The sequence below is a fragment of the Homo sapiens genome, chromosome 2 (assembly GCF_000001405.40).
Source record: "Homo sapiens chromosome 2, GRCh38.p14 Primary Assembly".
NCBI lineage: Eukaryota > Metazoa > Chordata > Mammalia > Primates > Hominidae > Homo > Homo sapiens.
In genome coordinates this window covers 158,323,584-158,350,363 of record NC_000002.12, presented here as the reverse complement: position 1 = coordinate 158,350,363, position 26,780 = coordinate 158,323,584, and the positions used below count along the sequence as shown (strand labels likewise).

Below are 26,780 nucleotides of genomic sequence, written 5' to 3'. Positions count from 1 at the left end.
CATCCATTCGAGATGTACCAAAAAAGACATTTTGGCTGAATGTAGAATGGTTGAGTGTTAAAATCAGTATTTTATCAAAGTGAATTTCTCTTTGGTGATAGACTCATTATGAAAGCATCAATATATTTCAGATTTTTAATTATTGTGGTTTTTACAATTTAATATCAAGTGCAGGAACAATAATTTCTCAGCACTGTTAGCTGCTAGATGGCTACTGTGGTCTCTGTATTTACATATTTGTGCGGTTAAACAGATGCTCACGTTCAACTGGCATTTTAAATAACATCAGTAACCTTTTTGTTTATAGTGGAATGTAATTCAGGAAGAAGCTTTTCTAGAAATAACTGTGTACCTGAGATTCATAGCTTGGCAAATCTCAAAAAATCCCTTGTCTTTAATGAAAATGGTTCACAGTCTGTAGCAATCATTTTGACAAGCTTTTGCTTCCATTTTTAGTCTCCGTAGATTCATGATGATGAGGAATTGTCCTTTTAAAGCATTTTGGAATGTCTGTTGTTTTGAATTTCAGTTAGTGAGAACAAAATGTGTCCTAGGTACTTCATCATTTTCTAACACTTGCTTTTTTTTCTTCATGCAGTTTTCATTTTTTATTATATCTGGATTAAGGAAGATGCATTGGGAATATTGCTGTACATTATTTTTTGGAGTCTTCTAATTTAATTTAGAGGTGGCAAGTTGACATTTTGCTTTTAATTTATTCTTGTAAGTTGTGAACAATTGCCAAATAGGACTTTTTCTTAAAAGACTCATGGCTTAAGTGGAATTAAATAACTGGAAATTAAATACAACTCAAAGTTTTTTTTAATGTCCTGAATGCTAAGATACCAAACAATCCACACTAACTAGAATTATTATTATAATAGTATCTCTCTTATTCTTTCATATATTACTTGAATTAAAAATACATAGGCTCAAAAAGAATGTATTATTATTCTTAATATTACATAGCTAACACATTCTCTCTAAATATTTGTATTATCAGCCTACTTCCCTGTTTATTTTACCTTTTAAATAAACTCTTTTTTTAGACATGTAATTAACAGTTTTAATAATCATTGTTAATTATTACAGCACTTTTCTCTGGCAATATTAAATATAAACATATTTAAATAAAATGATAAAATGTTAACATTTAAAGCACATAAAGAGATTATTGCTTCAAGTTACATCTAGAATACTTAGCTACCTGTCTGATTTGTACTACTGATATTATTAACAAGTTAGATGTGATGGTCATCTATATAATCACTGTGTCATTGATCATGCACAATTTCTGCGATGCCAGCTATATAAGACTGAAGTGGACAGTCAGTGATCTAGTCTTTCAAAGGCTGAGATTGAACCTGAAGACAAATAATAGAGTTGGGCTAAAAACTGAGACCAATTTTGGTACATTGTGTGTAACTGTACATTCCCAGTATTTTAACTGTAAAAGAGATCTTTGCAATTATTTTTAAATTTGAATTTCTTTGCTTAGATACTTCTTGTCCAGCTCAAGCCTCTATTAATTCTTTTTAAAAATGTTATAGAAAATTATAAACATATGCACAATTGGATTGAATTGTATAGTGAATCTCCATGTCACATCATTCAGCTTCAACAATGATCAACTTTTGGCCCTTGTTTCCTCTATACTGCTACCCACAAATGACCCCCTGTGCCAGATTGTTTTGAAGCAAATCACAGACATCATAATATTTCACCCATAAATATTTCAACATATATTTCTGAAATAATAGAGATTTTTAAAAAGCCTACAATACTATTACCATGTCTAAAAATGTTAATGTCTTAATAATTTCAAATATATAGTGTTAAATTTCCCTGATTGTCTCAAAAATTTTGTCTTAAAGATTATTTAAATAAGCTTCTAGATATGGTCTGTACATTATACTTTTTTTTTTTGTAGATTTGCTCCTCTATCCTTTTGTATTTTGTAATTTATTTTTTGAAGAAATTGTATTGTTTGTCTTATAGTCTGAATTGGGCAGATTACATCCTGGTGGTGTCATTCAACATGTTTTTCTGTTTCTTGTATTTCCAGTAAATTGATAGTTATATTTAGGGACTTGATCAGATTCAAGTTCAATTAATTTTGTCAAGAACACTTACTGATGGAAGTTTTGTGCTCTAATCTTTTTCTATTACAAATGGTACTGCAGTGAATAGCTTTGTGCATATATCTTTTATACTTTTGCCAATATAGTTTTCAGATGGATTTCTATAAATGAATTTGCTAGGTCACAGGATAAATCCATATGCAATCTTGTGATGCATCTCCAAATTCCCTTCTATGGGGGTTGTATCACTTTGTATTCCCACTAGCAATATTAGACAGAACATGCTTTCTGTAGCCTCACAGTGTTTTGTTAAACAATTGAGTTTTTGTCAACCCGATAAATGAGAAATTGCATCTTACTGTAGTTGTTTTTTCTTTTTATTTATGTTAACAGTTCTTTATTGAGCTATAACTCACATATAGTAAAATGTATATATCTCAAACATACGTCCCAGTGAAATTTGACAAACATATACATACATGTAACCAGTGGTCTACTAGTTATTGACGTCTGTCTCAAAAGATGGATCTTCTCGTTCAAAGAGCTTTTGTAATATTTCAAGGTACCTATTTAGGGTTTTATTATCTTGGACCATCACAATAAGCCATATACAGGAAACCCCTGGTTTCTGATTCTTTTATGAATTCATTGTTTTGGCATGTTTCCAGAGTATTTTTGAATCGTCAGCATTCTGCACAAATTATCATCCACCCTAAGTATTGACTTCATATGGTGTATTGCCCAGTAAAATGAATTGGAATCACCTAGACATCTCTCTGTTGTTAAAGATAGAACTTTAAATCTTTTTGTTATTTTTAAGACTTTTTTTTTTCATTTTTGGCCCAAGGATAGAAGTGGAATCAATGAGTGAATTTATAAAAAAATCAGTATGTTCTGCAAAATATTGGAATTGTCTAGTGAAAAATAGTAGCTTTATTTTGACTTTTATAGTCTACTTAATTGAACTTTCCATGGGCCCAAAGGCGAGAGCATTGATTTTTTTTCAAACTATAAAAATGTGTCCCCGTCTTTCACCAATGTATTTTAATTTTTTTGTACAATATGTACCAAATATGCCAAAGAAATCTAATTTTAAAAGTTGTATCTGTTGCAACAAACTTTAGAGACTGTGTATGGTAAATGGCTGGAATGAGTTTTAAGCATTCTTAAAGTGAACGTTAAAGTGTCAGATTTTAGAAATACTGTGTACTTATATTTTTTTGGTAGGTAAAGTAGAGACTGCTGAATGTTTTTCTGCAGGGTCCTGTGCTTTTAAAAACGTACTTTCCTCCTAAATTTTATAATTGTAACACTCTTACCTTCTTAGGAAAATATTTGACTTTGACTTTGTATTTTTTAAAAGTAATCTTTGGGTTGTTTTCTTATACCCCTAATTTTGAATCAGTAACCAGAACAGCAGAAAGATAAACTCAAGGTTAAAGCAATCAGTGAATGACGGCTGGAAATAGCATGCATTATAAAGATTCCTTTTTAGAACTTGTCTTCTGAAGTCTTTACATTTCCAGCATTGATCTTTTAAAGCTTTTAGGGTACTAAGTACTTTAACAGCAGAGAAATTATGAAATATGCGTATTTCATCAAGTTTCTGATGTACACGTTTGTAGTTTAAAATTGTTAATATGGAATACTTCGGTTTGGAGTACCCATGAGTATAAGTTAGAGTCTAACCAGGGAACAGACATCACTTGAGGATTTAGAGTAGAGCGGTTTTTAATGTAGGAAAATGTTTATGCAGGTGATAGCACTGAGAAGGCAAAGGACTGGGAGGCAATACGGAGATTGACAAGTACAGGAAATCACTGCCATCAGTAGGTCAGAGGGACATACAGAAGAAGCAAGGCCATGCCAAATTCCTGGGGTGAGGTTACCCGGAGATAGTTGGAACCGTAGTGGAACTGTTCAGAGAAAAGTTGGGGCAATGGACACAATGCAAATGCTCCTAGAGACTGTGAGAGTAGAGAAGGCAAGATGACATAATCCTTTGGCTTCTCCTTTCTTCCCTGCCTTCAGTCTCCCATCCCAGGGTCTTGCTTTGGCTGAAGCCAACTGATAGGGGTGCCTGAGAAACACAAGCTGCTCTGTGAGATGGAGCAGATCAGGCAAACAGCCAGAAATGGATCTAAGACAAACAGATCCAGGGCTGATATAACCTTTCAGCTGAAACTCAAAATCATTAATTATGTGCTACATTTTTAAAAAGTAGTAAAATTGAGGAAAAATTACATTTAGTTGAAAATTTAGATTTCAATGCTACATGATTTTTCATATTTCTTTAAGTATCTTCAAATAAATATTTGCTTAAATTAAAAAAATTTTTTTACAAAGACGCACTTAGAGTTGAAAGACTAAAATTGTGTGTTCAAGGTCATATTTCTAGTAAGTGTTGAAGCCAGGCCTTCTAAAAACTTATCCAAGGAACCTTTCCCATCTTATGCTGAGGGATCAGATAGAAGCCAATCTAAACATCAAGGTTCTTTGTTACTCTGATATTTATGAGCTTTATAATCTTGACCACATCTTTTAACTTCTCATACATTCAATAAATATTCTCCTCCAAAAATGTGAATAAAGATGGCTATTATGCCTGACAGGGAAGATAAATCCAAAAGGGGAGAAATGAAACCTCTTGAAAACTTTTCTGGGGTTATATGAATTAAGGTATTATCTATTTCATGTATGGAAAATAGAATGACTTTGCCTTTGTTTTAATAAGTACTTTAAAAACAGTTTTTAAGTTTGTCAGTATTCCCAACCATTTTTCTTTCTCCTCCCTGCTTTAAAAAATCAAATTTATTTTAGGTAGATTTTGTGTTAGGAGATGCACTAATAAGAATTTTAAAAGAGAAACTATTTAACTTAGAAAATTCAGATTAAGCATTTCTGTTGTGAAAAACACATTCTGAAAACTTTGAAGTTGCTCCTCTTTTGTTCCTCTAAATCTAGATCAGAAAAGCAATGTTGACTTCAAAGTTATCCAAAGAACAAACACTAATAAAACAACACAAGCAAGTGTGGTGGCAGGAATACCAGAGGCTGAATGAAGTCAGGTAAGAACTGGGGGACATAGTAAGAACACGTAGGAATTACTAGGAATAGCACTTATCTTGTCAGATGTTCTATAATGTTCCATGTTAATTAACCATTATAATAAAAATTTAAAGTTACGATTTGAATGTGAGTCAAATTAAAATCCTTTCATTTCCTCATCTTAATCTGAAATCCAGTGAATATATTAATATGGCTTTTGCTTCCTGTTGGAAAGAAGATGATCTTCTGTATGTGTCAATCACTTCCACACTCCCACTCTCATACTTGTATTTACTTGTATCATACTTAGCATATTGGATTATAATGTTTTGGATACATGTTTTTTCCTCCCTATAAAGTGGTAAAGATCCTATCACGGGCAAACATCTCATCATATTCATTTTTATATAGTAGAATACATAGGAGAGATGTAAATGCTTTTAATACATGGATGAACTAATGAACAAGGAGTTCAAGTTGCAAATGATTTCTGGGTGTAAGTGCATCATGACTAACTTACTCAATTTTGCTTTTTGACTTTTGTTATTATTTCCAGCTGTCACGTAAAGATAAAATGAAATATTGATTCTACAGTTGATCTTAATTGTAATCTTTGAAAAATTAGTTTTTTCAAAGGTCAAGGCAAAAAGAGAAGGCAGATATGTTTCTCCTTCATTTATAGCTTGTATACTTGTTTTAATGATGATATTTATAAAGTGTGCTTCTAAAATGTGCATTTTAAAGCATTTATTTTATATCAAAATAGTTAATTTCTGTGGTCTTATTCTAAGTAAAGTTTGTAAATGCCATTAACTTTACTTTTGACTTAGGTCTTTTTCATGTTGATGAGTTTCTTATTCTGGCAGGTGACTCCTTTATGTGAAGTAGAAGGCTTATAATTGAAAGTGGTTTTACATTATTGTGTAACTTAAAACATAGAAAAACAAAGTTATATGGACTTCATCACCATACAGCTACTTTAAATACAATGAAATTAGACCCATCTTATCCCTCAAAAAGTCACCTTTTATGGAGTGAATGTTTGAGCCTATTGAATTTTTTTTTTGAAAATGTGCATAACTTGAAACATGACAAAAAGGAAAGCCATTAGGAAGCTTTAATTGTGGTGTTCACTGATTCAAATTCAAGTGTAAAGGAAGACACTTGGTAAAGTTTTTTGTTTTTTTTAAATCTTGGCTATTCCACGTCTTTCTTAATGTGTATATTAAGTTGTTCTTAAGCTATGTAGAAGAGGTGTATACATATCATTATGGGAAATAATTCTTTTGGCTGACCTGGAATGACACAAAGAAAATGGAAGTGAGGAACACTTAAGTAATGATAACCTTAATGTCTCAGAACTTGTAAGGGCTGAAAATTGGACAAAATGAAGAATTCCAGGATAAGTTTCTATGTTATTCTAGAATGCAGGCTAATTGCAATTTGTGTTCGGTGCAACTAAAAGCTAACAGCAATAGGAGATAAGTTAGAGAAATGACTACCTTGTGGAGAATTTAGGGCCACCAACAAATTAGAAGTAGTTAAAGTCCTAACAGTGTTTGTCAACCTTTAGAAATCGACATCCCCTTTTAATAAGTAAGATTCTATGCCTTACCATAAAAGACAACATTTAAGAATCTCAGGCAGGCGGAGGATAAGGGCTTACAATAACACCTAACATTTGTTAGGTAATTTAATATGTGCCAGGTAATATTAGGTTGGGCAAAAGCCACAATTATTTTTGCACCAACCGAGTATGTTAAGTCCTTTACATGTTTTATCTCCTTTAATATTTACAACGACCCTACAAAGTAGTCGTTATTGCTCTCTCAGTTTTACAGATGAGAATCTTGAGTCTCAGATGATGAAAGTTAATTTGTAGATCATAAATAACCTAGTCTGTGTGGAGCTGGGATTGGAACATTTGCCCCTAACTTCTGTGCTCTATGACCTTGGAGTTGAGTAGCTTTTTCCTTTTTCTACAGGATTCTGTTTACATCACCTGAGATGCAATTGGTCTAGCCTTGCTGGCAAAAATAAAAGAAATTTTGCCAGGGTGTGGTGGTGCATACCAGTAGTCCCAGCTACGTGGGAGGCTGAGGCAGGAGGATCACTTCAGCCTAGGCGTTCAAGTCTTCAGTACATTATGATTGCACCCGTGAACAGCCACTGCACTCTAGCCTGGGCAACATCGTGAGACCCCATGTCTAAAAACAGCAAAACAAAATGAAAACATATGCCAAACTTTGATTCTTTGAAATCTGTACTAAGAAAACTAGACAAAATTTTCAAATGTGAAATTATGTTTAATATTTACATTTATACAGTTTTATTTAAATTGTGTTATGCTTAATCAAGCTATACCCCTTGAGGTTTTTGACACACTTTTCCAGAGGCGCTTTCTCCCTCGTTTCATTCTGGTACCACAAAGAATCCCTTAAGTTTTTGTGTGCTCGTTTGCCCAGATGATGTATTAATCTACTCAGTGCAACCACCTGCAGATAAGACACCCTGGTGAAGGGCATTTTTGAGCCTTCAGGTGTCTACCTTGGTATAGATTCTTATCCTTCCAGAAAGGTGCCAAAGTTCTAAGTGGAGAATCAGTCTCCTCAGAACATCAAAAATTACCCATATCTTCATTTTTTGGCAGTTAGTATGCTCTGTTATGACTTTCTGGGTGCCGAGCTAGATGGTTTTTAAGTGCTGTGTTTTTGGTTAAACAAATCTGTTCTGGAATAACTTCTGGTTTGACTCAACCATTATGCACTCATCCTCCATGTAACAGTTGCAAATGTGATCTTAAAAATATTTCTGGCAGAAACTACCTGCTGGAAAAATAGACAGTGAGGTATCACTTACAATATCACCCCTCCTTTATACATTTAAACAAAAACCAAAACCTTGTCCCATGTAAATTGGCTTAGAAAATTATGACACAGCACTTTGGGAGGCCAAGGCAGGTGGATCACCTGAGGTCAGGAGTTTGAGACTAGCCTAGCCAACATGGTGAAACCCTGTCTCTGCTAAAAATACAAAAATTAGCCAGGCATGGTGGCGCGCACCTGTAGTCCCAGCTACTTGGGAGGCTGAGGCAGGAGAATTGCTTGAACCTGGGAGGTGGAGGTTGCAATGAGTCGAGATCACGCCATTGCACTTCAGCCCGGGCGACCCAGCAAGACTCCTTCTCAAAAAAAAAAAAAAAAAAAAAGAAAAGAAAATAATGACACGTACATAAAATGGAATACTATGGAGTCATTAAATGATAATTATGAAAACTATTTAGAAATATCTAAAAAAAAAGTTAGTGTTAGTAAAAAAAAAAAAAAATCCCACAACATAAAATGTTAAATATGCCATGTTATGACCATGTGAAATATATCAACATTTAGATAAGGGCTAGAAACTTATCTGGAAAAATTAAAATAATAATTATATTAAAGGATTATAATTGCTGCTTTTTTATATTATACCATTTTAATACTGTAATAATCATAAAACTCTTTTATATGATTTAATCGAATCTGCCATAAGCAAGGGGTAGGCTATAATATTTTTGGATGCCCATTTAGAGTTAGTTATGATTTTATTCTAAAAAAATGACTATATTTTAAAAATATGTAGGCCAGGTGTGGTGACTCACACCTGTAATCCTGGCACTTTGGGAGGCCAAGGTGGGCGGATCACCTGAGGTCAGGAGTTCAAGACCAGCCTGGCCCACATAGTGAAACCCTGTCTCTAATAAAAGTACACACACGCACATATTAGCTAGGTGTGGTGTCACATGCCTGTAGTTCCACCTACTCGGGAGGCTTAGGCACGAGGATCACTTGAACTCAGGAGATGGAGGTTTCAGTGAACTGAGATTGTGCCACTGCACTCCAGCCTGGGCGATCAAGCGAGACTCAGTCCAAAAAAAAAAAAAAAATATGTATGTACACATATGTATACATATATAAGCTCATGAAGATTTGTTGCTCTTATTAGTATATACATACACATATATATGTATACATATGTACGTACACATACGTATGTATACATATATAAGCTCATGAAGATTTGTTGCTCTTATTAGTATATTAAAAATAAAGTATACTTCTACCTCTGTAATTCAGGGTCTCATCCTTTCTGAACTTTTAAAATTACCTCCTTGTTGGTCTAGATTTGTCTGATACCCTCCTCTTCATCTTCCATCTCTATTGCTCACATCTCCTTCTGCTCTATCTTGTTGTCTTGGGAATCTTTCTGAAACACGGATCTGAGGAAGTGAGGTCAGCCTACTGACCTTCAGTGCTTCCCAATGCTCTGGGTCCTCTCCACATGCAATGCCAGGACCTGCTGTGGGCTGGCCTTTGCTCACGCTGTTTCTTCTCCCTGAGCCTATGCATCTACCTCAGTGTCTAGTAAAGACTCAAGCCATGTTAGGAATTTAGTACATGGTTTAAATGAACAGATGACAAAGCCATATTAGACTAAATATCTCTTTGGTTATTTTTTAAAAACCTAGATGTATGTTTATGATTGTAACATTTATTGAGATCACATCTATTTCAGATGTAAAATGGAATCTGAAATAAAATCCCTTCTCAATGAAGAGAACATTGGAAATGAATGTCTTTGTGACCTTACAAATTTTGGTAAGATTTTTTTGATCCTATATTTAAAGGGGAGTTTTATTTTGAAGAATGAGAATGGGCCACTCACTTCATGTTCTTTTAATATTAACTGCCATTTGTTTTTTTCTAAGGAAATCCCCAAATAAATCTGTACTCTAATGATCTGTTTTTGGAGACACTTAAAATAATAATGTGTTCCTTTAATTCAATTTTGTTTCACCATAGAGCAAGAGCTATCAGAACAACAGTGCACATATCTTAAAAATGTAATAAATCCTATTCAGCAGCTGAGAGCAGATCTAAAATACAGACAGCATCACACTTTGCAGCATTCACACCCACATATTGAGTTTAACTCCATGAAAGTATTGGAAGAGGTTAGTATGTTACCTTTATTTTCCATAATGTAATATTTCATTTTTGTCCCAACTAGAAGAGTTTGAGATAAGAAACAAACATGTGTGACCTGTATATTAGTTAATATTAATACATAAATAATATTTAAATAGAAGGGCAGCTAATTCTATCCACTAAATATTTTAAACACATGCCTGAACTCTGTCGAGCACCCTCATTTCTTGTCTGGAATGTTCCAGTGGCCTCATAACTGGCTTCCCTGCTTTCATTCTTGCCTCTCCTCCCAATGCATCCTGGGATCTTACCCCAGCACAGGGGGATTAAGTCATCTGTTGCTGAAATTCCCTAGGGGCTCCTGTGAGTACATAAGTCCTTCTATCCACCTATAGCCCCCTTTTTGCTTCTTCAATCACATCTGCTACCTGACATTTCCACTTTGCCATAAAAGCTCAGTCACACCCAGGCTGGCCTTCTTTCTGTTTCTCCAACATGCCAGGCCCATTCCTGTACTGGCTATTTCCTCTGTCCTGTTGATGTGACTCTTTGCCATTTAGATCTTGGCTCAAATGTCCTCTTGTCTGAGAGGCCTGTGCTGAGAAGCCACAGTCACTCCCTATCACACCACCCTATTTTGACATTTCCTTCCTGCTCCTGACCCTTTCTTACATATTTTTTTATTAGTTTGTCAACTGCTTCCCCTCAATTGAGCATAAACTTCTTGAGTATAGGTGTGCTATGTTTGATAAAAATTTAGGTGGTTTTTTCTATTTTTCAGTTATTCTGTAATGTTATATTGCTTTTATAAATACTCATAAAAAATATAAATGTATGCCCAGGTGGGGATTAGAGGCAAGAATGCAAGGGAAGGAAGGGGTGATTGGAGCAGAGACATCTGGTAAGTTCTCTGCATTACCACAGAGAAAATAAAAAGGTGGGTGCAGAGTGACTGTGACTGCACTGTACTTTCTGAGCTTATTTTTGGGATGTCTAGAAGCCTTATCACAGCTCATTTGTCTGATGAGCACTGCCTACCTGGCTGGCATCTCTTTAACTCTCTTCCACAGGTCTTTAAACTTCATCACTGATTGGCTTTTGAGAATAATTATTGTGTCTTTAAATATAAATATGGAATGAATTGCAATAATTTGCCTACTACTTGTTCCAAATGTCCTATAGGTTGACTTTGTGAAGAAACAATTGAAAACTGTCTTTGAAAGACTTAGGCTGGAGCAACAGAGAATAGAAAATGATCTTTCAGACTGGAGTATAAAGGTAAGTGTGATGTGGCTAATAATTTATGTGTTTATCAATTTGTCGTTTATGTTAAATAAAATAATCATATACTTTTTTTCAGATTCTAGATCATTCTTTGGAAGAAAAGACTAACCCGCTTAGTGAACTGCCCATTGAATTAGAAAGTTTGGAATGCCCATACCCTGATTTGAAATCTTCAATTCTCAGTGAGTTCTATAAGTTTACACAGAAATATCAGAAGAAGCTTCAAGACTTTAATCTGCAGTTGGAAGACATATACAGGTGATAAGATAAAACTGAGTCCTGTGTAGACTTTTGACACTAACTTTTTATTTTTGTTTGGGATCACTATACTTCCAACTTACTGTATAGTTACTATGTAACTGGAATACAATCAATAAATGTTTAGACTGACTATTTGATGAATAGAGAGGGTTTTATTTTTTCAAAAAAATTTCTTGACATAATAGTTCTTAAGATTTTTATAAGGTTAAGACATGTTGAAAATGTCTCTTATTGAGCTCTTCACTACACAGGTAAGAAATAGTTTTCAAATATGAATTTTCAGTAACCACAACTTTTCTTTTCAAGATGTGAAGCTGCTCTGCAGTAATTGATACAATGGAAAATGTACCCATGGAATTATGTTACTTGTAATTGACTGTAATTTTATCCTATGATCAACACAGAGTATGTTTTCTAAATTTTAAAAAAATTTCTTCTATATGTTAAATTTCATTTTTAGGAAATAGACTTCTGGTTTTCTCCCAAGAATGATTATCCACTTCTGCATGGTGAATATAATGTTCAGCGATTTAAAATTCAGTTTGGCAGCGGTCATCTTCTCTAGTGTCTTCTATGTTAAAATTCACTTAGATGACAAATCCGGATACACCACTCTGAACTAGATCAATGGTCTACCTTATAGTGTATATGAAGCATCTAGGGGACATTTTGTAGGGAAACAGCTTTGTGTGCTATGATATTGACCTCAATATTTTCCCCGAAAGAATGTATATTTAAAAAGATAACTATTTAAGGGACACATTTATAGTAAATTAAAATAAAAGGTTTATAACTTTGGAATGGAAGAAGACGAATATGACAAATATTTATATTTCTTATGAATTGCCTGTGAACTGCAGCTCCTCTGTATGAAACTATTAATTGTAAGAAATAAATTACAGGGGGAAAAAACTTAAATTATACCAAGTAGAGTTATTTGCTTTGGTAGCTTCCTGATCCAAACTCTTCAGTTATAGCTTCTATTGGTCTTAGCACTCTTGTCAGTAAATAGAGCTGATTCTACCTGAAGTTGGACCCCTTTTTCTGATGGTAGCTTCTCCACATCACACACCTTTTGGTCTCCTGATAGCCTTTCCTTCCCCATCTCTCTCCTTTCCTTTCTTCTTTCCTATCTTGCAGTAAAGCTGAGAAATAATAATATACAATTTACACTTGATGATTGATTAATTACATGTTAACTGGAACTCAGTCGTAGTGAAGTACTAACTCAACCATGCACTACACTTAAGTCTCCAATTGTTAAATGAACATTGTCTTCCCACTCCCCATCCCAATCTTGTTAAAGAGATTTTAGAACTCATCAAGAAAGAGGAAGAGGATTTTTTGTTTGGTAGGGGAGAGGGCATTATAATCAGCCTGATAAACTGTAGCTGTGAAGAGGGTAAATCTGACCCTATCATTTAAAGCAAGTTGGCTGGCCCAGTACCTCCTCTCCCAGATGATTCCTTATCTCCCTGAGAAAGCTGGCTGAGATTGTGGTGTTTCTAGGTTAGTAACTCCCCAAGAGGGAGGAGTTTGCCTTAGCAGTCTAAAATGGCTTTCTTCCAGTAAGAGTTATTCTTCACAGCCCATTTTCCTTCTTTCTTTTTAACTAAACTCAATTTCTGCTCTTTCATAATGCAACCCTGTGTGACTCAGAAACAGTTGAGATTCACAGCTACATTAAAATTACTGAAGATTAAGTGGAGGATTAGATGAATATATATCACATGCTAACAATTCTGCAGAAGGAAGAAATATTGAGGATAAAATAGCTTAGGAAGGCTTGATGGAGGATGTAAAATTCACTATGGAGTTTGAAGAAGGGGTATGCTTAGCATAGGCAGAAGACGGTGGGGAGGCATTCTAAGAAGGGAGATTAAATGACTAGACTGTAAACCCCTTGAGGACAAAGTAATTTAGTAGTTATATTTGTATCCTTAACATCTTTAAATAAATGATTGTTCAATTGAGTTGAATTTGAAAAGAAAAACAATGAAGGCAAGATATGTTATGGGAACAGTAGGAATCTACTTTGGAGGAATATAAAGTTCATAAATTCTAGTTTAATAGTCTGCTTGCCACTTATAATTATCCATAATACATTTTATTCAGATAATGATCTGTTTCACTTGATGAATATTTATTGAATAAAACTTAAAATACAGTAGTCATTGCAAGCTCCCTGGTAGGGGGTTCAACAGACAGATTAGTTTAGTATATGGCTTTGCCTCTAAGAAGGCTTGGAATATTTGGGGGAAGAAATGTATATACATGTACCCTAACCAAATAAAAATAACATGCAAATGTCAACTAAAGAAAATATTTTATAAATATGCTGGCAGGAAATAATGAAGCATCAATAAAAACTGAATGAGGTTTCAGGAGTTGTGTCTTTGAGAAGAAAGAGTAAAAGAGTGATTTTGAATAAATACAGAGGTGGTGGCTATCAGTAGTCTGTGGCTTGTGAGCAGTAAGGCATAAAAGTATACTGTTCTACCTAAGACAATGAATTATAGGTTCAATCATAACATTATTTGTACTTCCAGTTTACCAGTATCTTCACTACTTTGATATGGCCTTCTCCCCTCTTTGTTCTAGTTATTGGGCTCACATAGATTGTGTTCATGTATGTGGAAGTGTGTGCATAGTTTAGACAGTTGTGCACTGCTATGCCATATGAAAGTTGAAATATCCAGGGGGCATTGTTTAATTATAAAAGGTTTTCATTGGCTGAAGGCAGTGGACATCATGGTTAGTCCCATTGTTTATTCAATTCTTCCTATTTTATAGTAGCTCGCTGGTTTGGTTTGAAATGACTCCATCTCTAGATCCAAAGGTAGGCAGTGATTGGGAGTATGTACCAGTCAGTGCAACCTCATTTTCCCAGGTCACAGTGACTAGCTAAGGGAGGTCTAATCCTCAGGAGAGGATTAGGTGAATATACATCACATGCTGATATGGTTTGGCTGTGTCCCCACCCAAATCTCACCTTGAATTATAATAATCCCCACATGTCAAGGGTGGGGCCAGGTGGAGATAATTGAATCATGGGGGCAGTATCCCCCATACTGTTCTCATGGTAGTGAATAAGTCTCCAGATCTGATGGTTTTATAAATGAGAGTTCCCCACCACAAGCTCTCTTGCCTGCCACCATGTAAGATGTGACTTTGTTCCTCCTTTGCCTTCTGCCATGAGTGTGAGGCCTCCCCAGCCATGTGGAACTGTGAGTCAATTAAACATCTTTCTTTTATAAATTACCCAGTCTTGGGTATGTCTTTATTAACAGCATCAGAACAGACTAATACACATGCTAATATTTCTGCAGAGGAAAGGAACATTGAGGATAAAGTAACTTAGGAGGATTGATGGAGGAAGCAAAATTCACTATGAACTTTGAAGAATGAGTAGGGTTAGCATAGGCTACCCTGAGCAAAGCTCAGGACTTTTGTTAGGTGCTTGTGAAAAGCAGTATCTTTTCTTCTGCATGGATGTTACCAAGAAAGCACATGGCTGACGTTACTGCTGGCAGTCATCTGGTGACCGAAGGAAGACAGCCTTTGAAGACAGGGCAGGGCCTCAGGAGTCCTGGAGAAACTGAGCTAGTGCTTTATTTGAATGGCATGGGAAGTCCACCTCACTGCTGGAATTTTAAGGGCCATTGGTCCAATTATTGTCTTAAACCAGTGTGACTTGGCTTTCTAGTTGTTTGCCACTAAAAACATCCGTAATTCAATACAATAATTGATTTGGCTTCAAAATATCCATGACTCATGGAATTAATCTGAAAAATTATATTAAATATTCCAATTTATTAGGAAGATTAAGCTTGTAAAATCAGCCAAACTTTAAAAATGAAGATTAACTAATGGTGGAGGGATGGGACTTGCGCAGCCAAATATAAATATATATATTTTTTAAAATCAAAATAAATTAGAAAGTTCTATGTGACTATGGAGTGTGTAGCAGATCAGTGGAACAAAACAGAAATAAAGCAGAAAAATATAATGATTTAATTTACAATAAAGGCTAATTTCAAAACTGGGGTAATATCAGATTATTAAAGAGATAGCATTAGATAATAGGCAATTGGAAGATAAGGTTAGGTCTCTTCATTCTATTCGACTCAGTGACCTCCAGGTGCGTTAAGATATGAAGAAAGAAAATCATAAAAGAATGAGATAAAAATAAAAATAAATAATCTTGAAGTAGAGAAGGCCATTCAAAAATCTAGCATAATTGTTACGCAGAGAAGTTTTAACTCTAGAAAATAGAGACTTCTGGTTTCCAGTCTAGCATGTAGAAACATAGTTGCCACTTGCTTCTAACAACAAATAAAAAGCTGAACAAACTGAAAAATCAGATGTCTTTGATCTATCAAATAAGTGAGACCGCAGCACAAAATGCTTCCCCCAAAATTGGAGAGACAGAAAGATACAAAGAATTACAACTTACTGGAGCAGAAATACATGAGCAGAAACCTCTGCAGGAACCAGTAATGAGCTAAGAAACCCTGAACCATAATTCATAAACTGCTAGAGGCTCAGTGTAGACAACTCTGAGAGTTAAAAACTCCAGGAGGACCCAGTCATAGGAGGCACTCCACACTTTTGTGAGTTTTACTCCAGGAGCTATATCAAGTTCTCACTGTAAATATCTGATAAAAATTCCCTTTTGCTTCTGGCAGCAGGAGAATAAAAGGAACCAACTTGATCTATGCATTCAATGCAATCCCAGTCAAAATCCCAGCAAATTATTTTTTGGATATTGACTGGCTAGCTGATTGTAAACTTGATGTGGAAAGATGAAAGACCCAGATAGGCAGATCAATATTGAAAGAGAAGAGCAAAGTTGGAGGACTGATACTACCCAACTTCAAGACTTACCATAATCAAGATTGTGTGATATGACCAGAGAATAGCCAAGCAGATCCACAGAACAGAAGAAAGAACCTAGAAATAGGTAAAGGGATCAATGCAACAAGAAGATCTAACTATCCTAAATATATATGCACCCAATACAGGAGCACCCAGATCCTAAAGCATGTTCTTAGAGACCTACAAAGAGACTTAGACTCCCACACAATAATAGTGGAGACTTTAACACCCCACTGTCAATATTAGAAAGATCAACGAGACAGAAAGTTAACAAGGATATCCAGGAAATGAACACAGCTCAGGACCAAACGGACCTAATAGACATCTACAGAACTCTCCACCCCAAATCAACAAAATATGCGTTCTCTTCAGCATCTCATCGTACTTATTCTAAAACTGACCATCTAATTGGAAGTAAAACACTCCTCAGCAAATGCAAAAGAACAGAAATCATAACAAACAGTCTCTCAGACCACAGTGCAATCAAATTAGAACTCAGGATTAAGAAACTCAAAACCGCACAACTACATGGAAACTGAACAACCTGCTCCTGAATGACTACTGGGTAAATAACAAAATCAAGGCAGAAATAAATAAGTTCTTTGAAACCAATGAGAACAAAGACACAATTTACCAGAATATCTGGGACACATTTAAAGCAATGTGTAGAGGGAAATTTATAGCACTAAATGCCCACAAGAGAAAGCAGGAAAGATCTAAAATTGATACCCAAATATCACTAGAGAAGCAAGAGCAAACACATTCAAAAGCTAGCAGAAGACAAGAAATAACTAAGATCAGAGCAGAACTGAAAGAGATAGAGACAAGAAAAACCCTTCAAAAAAATCAATGAATCCAGGAACTGCTTTTTTTGAAAAGATTAACAAAATAAATAGACTGCTAGTCAGACTAATAAAAAAGAAAAGAGAAGAATCAAGTAGACACAAAAAAACATGTTATAGGGGATATCACCACTGATCCCACAGAAATACAAACTACCATCAGAGAATACTATAAACACCTCTACGCAAATAAACTAGAAAATCTAAAAGAAATGGATAAATTCCTGGACAAATACACCCTCTGAAGTCTAAACCAGGAAGAAGTCGAATCCCTGAGTAGACCAATAACAAGTTCTAAAATTGAGGCAGTAATTAATAGCCTACAACCAAAAAGAGTCCAGGACCAGATGGATTCACAGCCAAATTCTACCAGAGGTACAAAGAGGAGCTGGTACCATTCCTTCTGAAACTATTCCAAATAATAGAAAAAGAGGGAATCCTCCCTAACTCATTTTATAAGGCCAGCATCATCCTGATACCAAAACCTGGCAGAGACACGACAAAAAAAGAAAATTTCAGACCAATAACTGTCAGATTCACCAAAGTTGAAATGAGGGAAAAAATGTTAAGGGCAGCCAGAGAGAAAGGTCGGGTTACCCACAAGGGGAAGCCCATGAGAATAACAGCTGATCTCTCGGCAGAAACTCTCCAAGCCAGAAGACAGTGGGGGCCAATATTCCACATTCTTAAAGAAAAGAATTTTCAACCCAGAATTTCATATCCAGCTAAACTAAGCTTCATAAGTGAAGGAGAAATAAAATCCTTTACAGACAAACAAATGCTGAGAGATTTTGTCACCACCACGCCTGCCCTAAAAGAGCTCCTGAAGGAAACACTAAACATGGAAAGGAACAACCAGTACCAGCCACTGCAAAAACATGCCAAATTGTAAAGACCATCAAGGCTAGGAAGAAACTGCATCAACTAACGAGCAAAATAACCAGCTAACATCATAATGACAGGATCAAACTCACACATAACAATATTAATCTTAAATGTAAATGGGCTAAATGCTCCAATTAAAAGACACAGACTGGCAAATTGGATAAAGAGTCAAGACCCATCAGTGTGCTGTATTCAGGAAACCCATCTCTCGTGCAGAGACACACATAGGCTCAAAACAAAGGGATAGAGGAAGATCTACCAAGCAAATGGAAAACAGAAAAAGGCAGGTGTTGCAATCCTAGTCTCTGATAAAACAGACTTTAAACCAACAAAGATCAAAAGAGACAAAGAAGGTGATTACATAATGGTAAAGGGATCAATTCAACAAGAAGAGCTAACTATCCTAAATATATGTGCACCCAATACAGGAGCACCCAGATTCATAAAGCAAGTCCTGAGTGACCTACAAAGAGACTTAGACTCCCACACAATAATAATGGGAGACTTTAACACCCCATGGCAACATTAGACAGATCAAGGAGACAGAAAGTCAACAAGAATACCCAGGATTTGAACTCAGCTCTGCACCAAGCGGACATAATAGACATCTACAGAACTCTCCACCCCAAATCAACAGAATATACATTCTTCTCAGCACCACACCACACTTATTCCAAAATTGACCACGTAGTTGGAAGTAAAGCACTCCTCAGCAAATGTAAAAGAACAGAAATTATAACAAACTATCTCTCAGACCACAGTGCAATCAAACTAGAACTCAGGATTAAGAAACTCACTCAAAACTGCTCAACTACATGGAAACTGAACAACCTGCTCCTGAATGACTACTGGGTACATAACAAAATGAAGGCAGACATAAAGGTGTTCTTTGAAACCAATGAGAACAAAGACAACCTACCAGAATCTCTGGGACACATTCAAAGCAGTGTGTAGAGGAAAATTTATAGCACTAAATGCCCACAAGAGAAAGCAGGAAAGATCTAAAATTGGCACCCTAACATCACAATTAAAAGAACTCGAGAAGCAAGAGCAAACACATTCAAAAGCTAGCAGAAGGCGAGAAATAACGAAAATCAGAGCAGAACTGAAGGAAATAGAGACAGAAAAACCCTTCAAAAAATCAATGAATCCAGGAGCTTGTTTTTTGAAAAGATCAACAAAATTGATAGACTGCCAGAAAGACTAATAAAGAAGAAAAGAGAGGAGAATCAAATAGACACAATAAAAAATGATAAAGGGGATATCACCACCTATCTCACAGAAATACAAACTACCATCAGAGAATACTATAAACACCTCTATGCAAATAAACTAGAAGTTCTAGAAGAAATGGATAGATTCATTAACACATACACCCTCCCAAAACTAAACCAGGAAGAAGTTGAATCTCTGAATAGACCAATAACAGGCTCTGAAATTGAAGCAATAATTAATAGCCTACCAACCAAAAAAAAGTCCAGGACCAGATGGATTCACAGCTGAATTCTACCAGAGGTATAAGGAGGAGCTGGTACCATTCCTTCTGAACCTATTCCAATCAATAGAAAAAGAGGGAATCCTCCCTAACTCATTCTATGAGGCCAGCATCATCCTGATACCAAAGCCTGCCAGAGACACAACAAAAAAAGAAAATTTTAGACCAATATCGCTGATAAACATTGATGCAAAAATCCTCAGTAAAATGCTGGCAAACTGAATCCTGCAGTACATCAAAAAGCTTATCCACCATAATCAAGTGGGCTTCATCCCTGGGATGCAAGGCTGGTTCAACATATGCAAATCAATAAACGTAATCCAGCATATAAACAGAACCAAAGACAAAAACCATATGATTATCTCAATAGATGCAGAAAAGGCCTTTGACAAAATTCAAGAACGCTTCATGCTAAAAACACTCAATAAATTAGGTATTGATGGGACGTATCTCAAAATAATAAGAGCTATCTATGACAAACCCACAGCCAATATCATACTGAATGGGCAAAAACTGGAAGCATTCCCTTTGAAAACTGGCACAAGATAGGGATGCCCTCTCTCACCACTCCTATTCAACATAGCGTTGGAAGTTCTGGCCAGGGCAATCAGGCAGGAGAAGGAAATAAAGGATATTCAATTAGGAAAAGAGGAAGTCAAATTGTCCCTGTTTGCAGATGACATATTTTATATCTAGAAAACCCCATTGTCTCAGCCCAAAATCTCCTTAGCTAATAGGTAACTTCGGCAAAGTCTCAGGATACAAAATCAATGTGCAAAAATCACAAGCATTCTTATACACCAATAACAGACAAACAGAGAACCAAATCATGAGTAACTCCCATTCATAATTGCTTCAAAGAGAATAAAATACCTAGGAATCCAACTTACAAGGGACGTGAAGGACCTCTTCAAGGAGAACTACAAACCACTGCTCAATGAAATAAAAGAGGATACAAACAAATGGAAGAACATTCCATGCTCTTGGGTAGGAAGAATCAATATCGTGAAAATGGCCATACTGCCCAAGGTAATTTATAGATTCAATGCCATCCCCATCAAGCTACCAATGACTTTCTTCACAGAATTGGAAAAAACTACTTTAAAGTTCATATGGAACCAAAAAAGAGCCCACATCGCCAAGTCAATCCTAAGCCAAAAGAACAAAGCTGGAGGCATCACCTGGCCTCAAACTATACTACAAGGCTACAGTAACCAAAACAGCATGGTACTGGTACCAAAACAGAGATATGCATCAATGGAACAGAACAGAGCCCTCAGAAATAATGCCGCATATCTACAACCATCTGATCTTTGACAAATCTGAGAAAAACAAGCAATGGGGAAAGGATTCCCTATTTAATAAATGGTGCTGGGAAAACTGGCTAGCCATATGTAGAAAGCTGAAACTGGATCCCTTCCTTACACCATGTACAAAAATTGATTCAAGATGGCTTAAAGACTTAAATGTTTGACCTAAAACCATAAAAACCCTAGAAGAAAACCTAGGCAATACCATTCAGGACATAGGCATGGGCAAGGACTTCATGTCCAAAACACCAAAAGCAATGGCAACAAAAGCCAAAACTGACAAATGGGATCTAGTTAAAATAAAGAGCTTCTGCACAGCGAAAGAAACTACCATCAGAGTGAACAGGCAACCTACAGAATGGGAGAAAATTTTTGCATTCTACTCATCTGACAAAGGGCTAATATCCAGAATCTACAATGAACTCCAACAAATTTACAAGAAAAAAACAAACAACCCCATCAAAAAGTGGGTGAAGGATATGAACAGACACTTCTCAAAAGAAGACATTTATGCAGTCAGCAGACACATGAAAAAATGCTCATCATCACTGGCCATCAGAGAAATGCAAATCAAAACCACAATGAGATACCATCTCACACCAGTTAGAATGGCAGTCATTAAAAAGTGAGGAAACAACAGGTGCTGGAGAGGATGTGGAGAAATAGGAGCACTTTTACACTGTTGGTGGGACTGTAAACTAGTTCAACCATTGTGGAAGTCAGTGTGGCGATTCCTCAGGGATCTAGAACTAGAAATACCATTTGACCCAGCCATCCCATTACTGGGTATATACCCAAAGGATTATAAATCATGCTGCTATAAAGACACATGCACACGTATGTTTATTGTGGCACTATTGACAATAGCAAAGACTTGGAACCAACCCAGATGTCCAACAATGATAGACTGGATTAAGAAAATGTGGCACATATACACCATGGAACACTATGCAGCCATAAAAAATGATGAGTTCATGTCCTTTGTAGGGACATGTATGAAGCTGGAAAGCATCATTCTCAGCAAACTATTGCAAGGACAAAAAAACAAACACAGCATGTTCTCAGTCATAGGTGGGAATTGAACAATGAGAACACATGGACACAGGAAGGGCAACATCGCACACTGGGGCCTGTTGTGGGGTGGGCGGAGGGGAGGGATAGCATTAGGTGATATACCTAATGTTAGATGACGAGTTGTTGGGTGCAGTACACCAACATTGCACATGTATACATACATGACTAACCTGCACATTGTGCACATGTACCCTAAAACTTAAATAAAAAAAAAAGAAATGAGATAATTTAGTAAGATGGCTGGGTATAAAATTAATGTAAATAGAACCCAAACTTTCATATATATAAACAGTGGCCATCTAGAAGATCTCATGAAAGAAAGAAACAGAGTTTGCAATAGCAATTCTAAATATAGAATATTTGGGAATTAATTTAACAAGAAATGTAAAAGATCTGTACTATAGGAAAAAAATTTCAAATGTTGCTGAAGGACATAAAACTTGAACAAGTGATATTTTAGTCTCAGAAGACTGAATAATTATAGAGATATTTTCCATCAATATATGAATTTAACGATATCAATAAAATTCACAGGATTAAAATATTAATCTGAATTTGAATTTAGGAGAATTCTGAGGAAAAGAAGCAATAATGAGGGAAGACTATTGCTGTGTTATATTAAGCATTTTATAAACTGTAGCATGTTGCCATGAACAGATCAGTCAATGGATGTGATTTGGGCTCAGACAATCCAAAATCCTTGGATGAATTTGGGTTCAGAATTGAGTTAAAGGGAAAAGAAGCAAGGAGTGAGGCATTCACGTTGCTCATGTGATCATATTCTGACATTATAGCTTCCTGAGGTGGTAGGTGGGTCCTTTCCTAATCATGGCAGAGGCATTATTGTGTAAGTCATATAATATGTAGTCATAAACTATTTTTTGCTTAAAGAGTTTGAATAGTTTTTATCATCTGCAACTAAATCTTAACAGATGTGGCAAGAGTGTGGAGAAAACAGGTATTTTATATTCTGCTAAAGTGAGTCTAAACTGGTGAATCTTTTCTATAGAGCAGATCAGCAGGACTTCCCAGATCACAAAGCATATGCCCTTTGTCCTGACAGCCTCTAAATCTCAATAATATATCATATAAATGTACTTGAATATGTATACACTGATTTATTTTTACAGTTATTCATTGCAGTAGTGAAAGATTGAGCAAAAACCTTAATATCAATAGGAACTAGTTTTATAGATTATTGTACATACACAGAATATATTATTTTGCAGATTAAAAATTGTGAAAATTTATATTAACTGACATGGAACAATATGTAAGGGTTAGGGTGAGGTATATAGTTAAGTAATCAAAGCAATGCACAGTCTACATTGTGTAAAACAGGAAAAAGCAAACATATATATTTTTATATATTTGCTTTTTCATGTCTGAAACAATACACAAAAATTGATAACATTCATCTTGAGGGAGGGGAGCCAGATGCCTGGGGGAGTAGGTGTGAGAAAGAATTTTTATTGTATCCTCTTTCATTAAACTTTTTGAATTTTGAACCATATGAGTATTGTTTCTATTCTAAAAATTTTTAAAGGAAAAAAATTGACAAGGGTAAAAATGAAGTAACAGGAAAATGTTGGCAACATATCAGGTACAAATGATTAAAATCCCTAATGCATAAAGACATTTTGCAAGTTAATTGAATGGTGAACAGCCAAAAGGAAAATGGAGCAAATGAGATGAAGATATGACTGACTTATCCTTCGTATTTTCAACAAATATTTATTGAACATTTATTGGCATAAAATATACAAAAATTCGTGTACTCATGAAACAGAAACATGCTGAAAACCATAAACATAATACATAAGTATATTATACACAGTAGTGTTAGAAGGTGATAAGTGCTATGAAAAAATACAAAGTAAGAGAGATAGAAAGTGTTGGGGTTCTGGTGGCAGACTGTAATTTTAAGTAGATGTTTAGGGGTAGGCCTGGTTGAGAAAGTGACATAAAAGTTAAGACGGGGTTGGGAGAACTAGTCCTGCAGATATTTGGGTAAAAATATTCCAGTCAATGTTTACTGAGGCGGGAGTATGCCTGGCAAGAGGCCAGTGTGGCAGGAACAGAGTGACAGATCTGGAGAGTAGTAGAAGGTGGGGTCATAGAGGTATGGATGGGGGGCAGGACATTTAGAGCCTTGTAGCCATTTTTAAAACTTCAGCTTTTACTCTGTGTGATATGAGAAGCTGTTGGAAGGTGTTGAGCAGAAGTGAGCAGAGTGACAAAATCAGACTTATGTTTAGCAGAATCACTTTGGCAGTTACTGTGTTTAAGATAAACTGTGGGGCTGGGGGGTAGAAGTGCAAGAAGATATTGGACACTTAGATAAAGTAATCCAGTTCAGCTCTTGGATATATTTTAAAGGCAGAGCCAACAGCACCTGTTGACAGATTCAATGAGCCATGTAAGAAAAAGAGAGCAACAAGAATAGTTCCAAATAGTTGCTTTTTGGGGACTGAGCAACTAGAAGGATGGAGTTGCCATCAACTTAGATGGGGAACACCGTATGTGAAGCAAGCTTTGGCTGTGGAGAAAATCCGGGGTTGAGGTTTGGACACGATGAGGTTGAGATGCCATTAGGTATCTGTGTAGAGATTGTGTGGATGCAGTTGGCTATATGGGTTTGGAATTCAGGAAAGAGCTCTTGACTGGAATTACATGGATATGAGTCATTAGCATGAGATTGGATGTGATCACTAAAGTAGTGAGTAAAGAGAGGAAGGAGAAAATCAAAGACTGATCCCTTAGGCCTGCCAACATTACAATGTCAGGGACAAGAGGAAGAGCCAACAAAGGACACTGAGAAAATGTCTGTGAGATATGAAAACAAAGAGAGTGTAGTGTCCTGGAAGGCAAGTGAAGAGGAAGTGGTCAGTCCATTGAATACATGCTGCTGGTAAGTAAAATACACTGATAATTGACTGTTGGCTTTAATAGAGGTTGTTGGTGGCTTTAGATGGAGGTTCAATCTTCATTGAAGAAGTGGAAGCAAATGCCTGATGGAATAGATTGGAATGCGTAGGAAAGGAATTGAAGATGATGTGTACAGATAACTATTTTGAGAAGTTTTTCTGCAAAGGAGAGTAGGCAAGTAGGGCCAGGCTTTTATGTAGTTATTTGCTTTTTTTTTTTTTTCAAATAGGAGACGTAGCAGTGTGTTTGATGCTAGTAAGAGTAATCTAGTAAAGGATAAACTCTGAAGATGCAGGCGAGAGGGGAATTGCTGAATGATGCCTTGGAGTTGTAAGGAGAGTTGGGATTTAGTACACAAGTGGAGGAATAAGCACAGATGGTTCATCTGCTACTCTAACAGGTGAGGTTGCAGAGTATATGGTGCAGATGCTGGGAGGGGAATGAATAGATGTTCATGGTGGCAGTCTGTGGAACTCTGGCTGGTAATTCTAAATGCAAATGACTAAGAAAGTTATAAAAGCCTCTCTACTCATCAAAGCAATGAAAATTTAAAAAATACTCAATTTTTTTCCTATAAAATGTAAAACATTGTGTCCAGAGTTTAAAATGGTATGGGAGAAATGAGCATTTTAATATATAATTGGTGTATTTGGAAGTCTGACACCATGTCATCAAAAATCTTTATAAATGTGAGTACTCTTTGTCTCTTTAGATATGATCTTTAAGGAAATAATCAGAGACATAAAGTGGATATTGGCTTCAGGGGTGTTCAACATTAAATTTTCTCTCCTTAGTGATGGCAAAATCTTCAAAACTACCTAAAGAGCCAGCAAATAGGGAATGAGCTTCATCAAGTATGATATATCCACACAGTGGAATACTACACTGACATTAATGATTATATAAAGGATATTTCTAATGACACAAATGGTTTGAATATGTTGCTATGTAATTAAAAAGCAGGCCACAAAATAGTTTATAGAACATGGACTTTCTTTTTTTCTTTCCTTCTGAAAGCGTTACATCTATATATAGCCACAGAAAAAAGACTGAAATGTTATTCACCCAAATAAACAATAAAAATAGTTATCCTGGGCCAGGTGCAGTGGCTCATGTCTGTAATCTCAGCACTGTGGGAGGCAAGATGGGTGGATCATTTTCGGTCAACAGTTCAAGACCAGCCTGGCCAACATGGTGAAACCCCGTCTCTACTAAAAATACAAAAATTAGCTGGGCAGTAGTGGTGCATGCCTGTAATCCCAGCTACTTGGGAACCTGAGGCAGAAGAATCGCTTGAGCCTGGGAGGCAAGCTGAGATCACACCACGGCACTCCAGTCTGGGCAACAGGGTAAGACCCTATCTCAAAAAAAAAAAAAAAAAAAAAAAAAAAGTTATTCCCAGGTGGTGAAATTAGACATAATTTTGGCATATTTTTACTTTCTATTTTTTAAAGCAAAAATACATGTTTTTAAAAATCTAAGTTAAAGGGTGAAGAGGAGACCATTGATATTTAATAAGTACCTATTACATGATCTGATAAATACAAATGATTTTAACCCTCAGTTTACCCCATCTTAAAAGCTCTGTTTTACAGATGAAGAAACTATAGCTCAAAGGAAGGTGAGCAATTTCCCCAAAGTCTCTGACATGGTAAATGGTTGGGCAAGATTACATCTCTTCTGCACATCTGAATAGAGAGCTTTCCCCGCTTACCACACTGCTTCAA

At 35.9% G+C, this 26,780-nt stretch overlaps 1 protein-coding gene across 3 annotated transcripts in view; it reads left to right on the top strand.

The window, feature by feature from the left end:
* Window positions 1-26,780, top strand: part of CCDC148 (coiled-coil domain containing 148) — a 285,681-nt gene that overhangs the window by 106,390 nt on the left and 152,511 nt on the right. The window contains exons 3-7 of one of the 3 annotated variants that reach the window (NM_138803.4): window positions 5,046-5,149; window positions 9,684-9,766; window positions 9,971-10,122; window positions 11,279-11,374; window positions 11,457-11,638. In NM_138803.4, the coding sequence (NP_620158.3) occupies window positions 5,046-5,149; window positions 9,684-9,766; window positions 9,971-10,122; window positions 11,279-11,374; window positions 11,457-11,638 (617 nt within the window). Of the gene's footprint in view, window positions 1-5,045; window positions 5,150-9,683; window positions 9,767-9,970; window positions 10,123-11,278; window positions 11,375-11,456; window positions 11,772-26,780 lie in introns of those variants that run through there. The other 2 variants (NM_001301685.2, NM_001301684.2) reach the window with 2 other exon arrangements.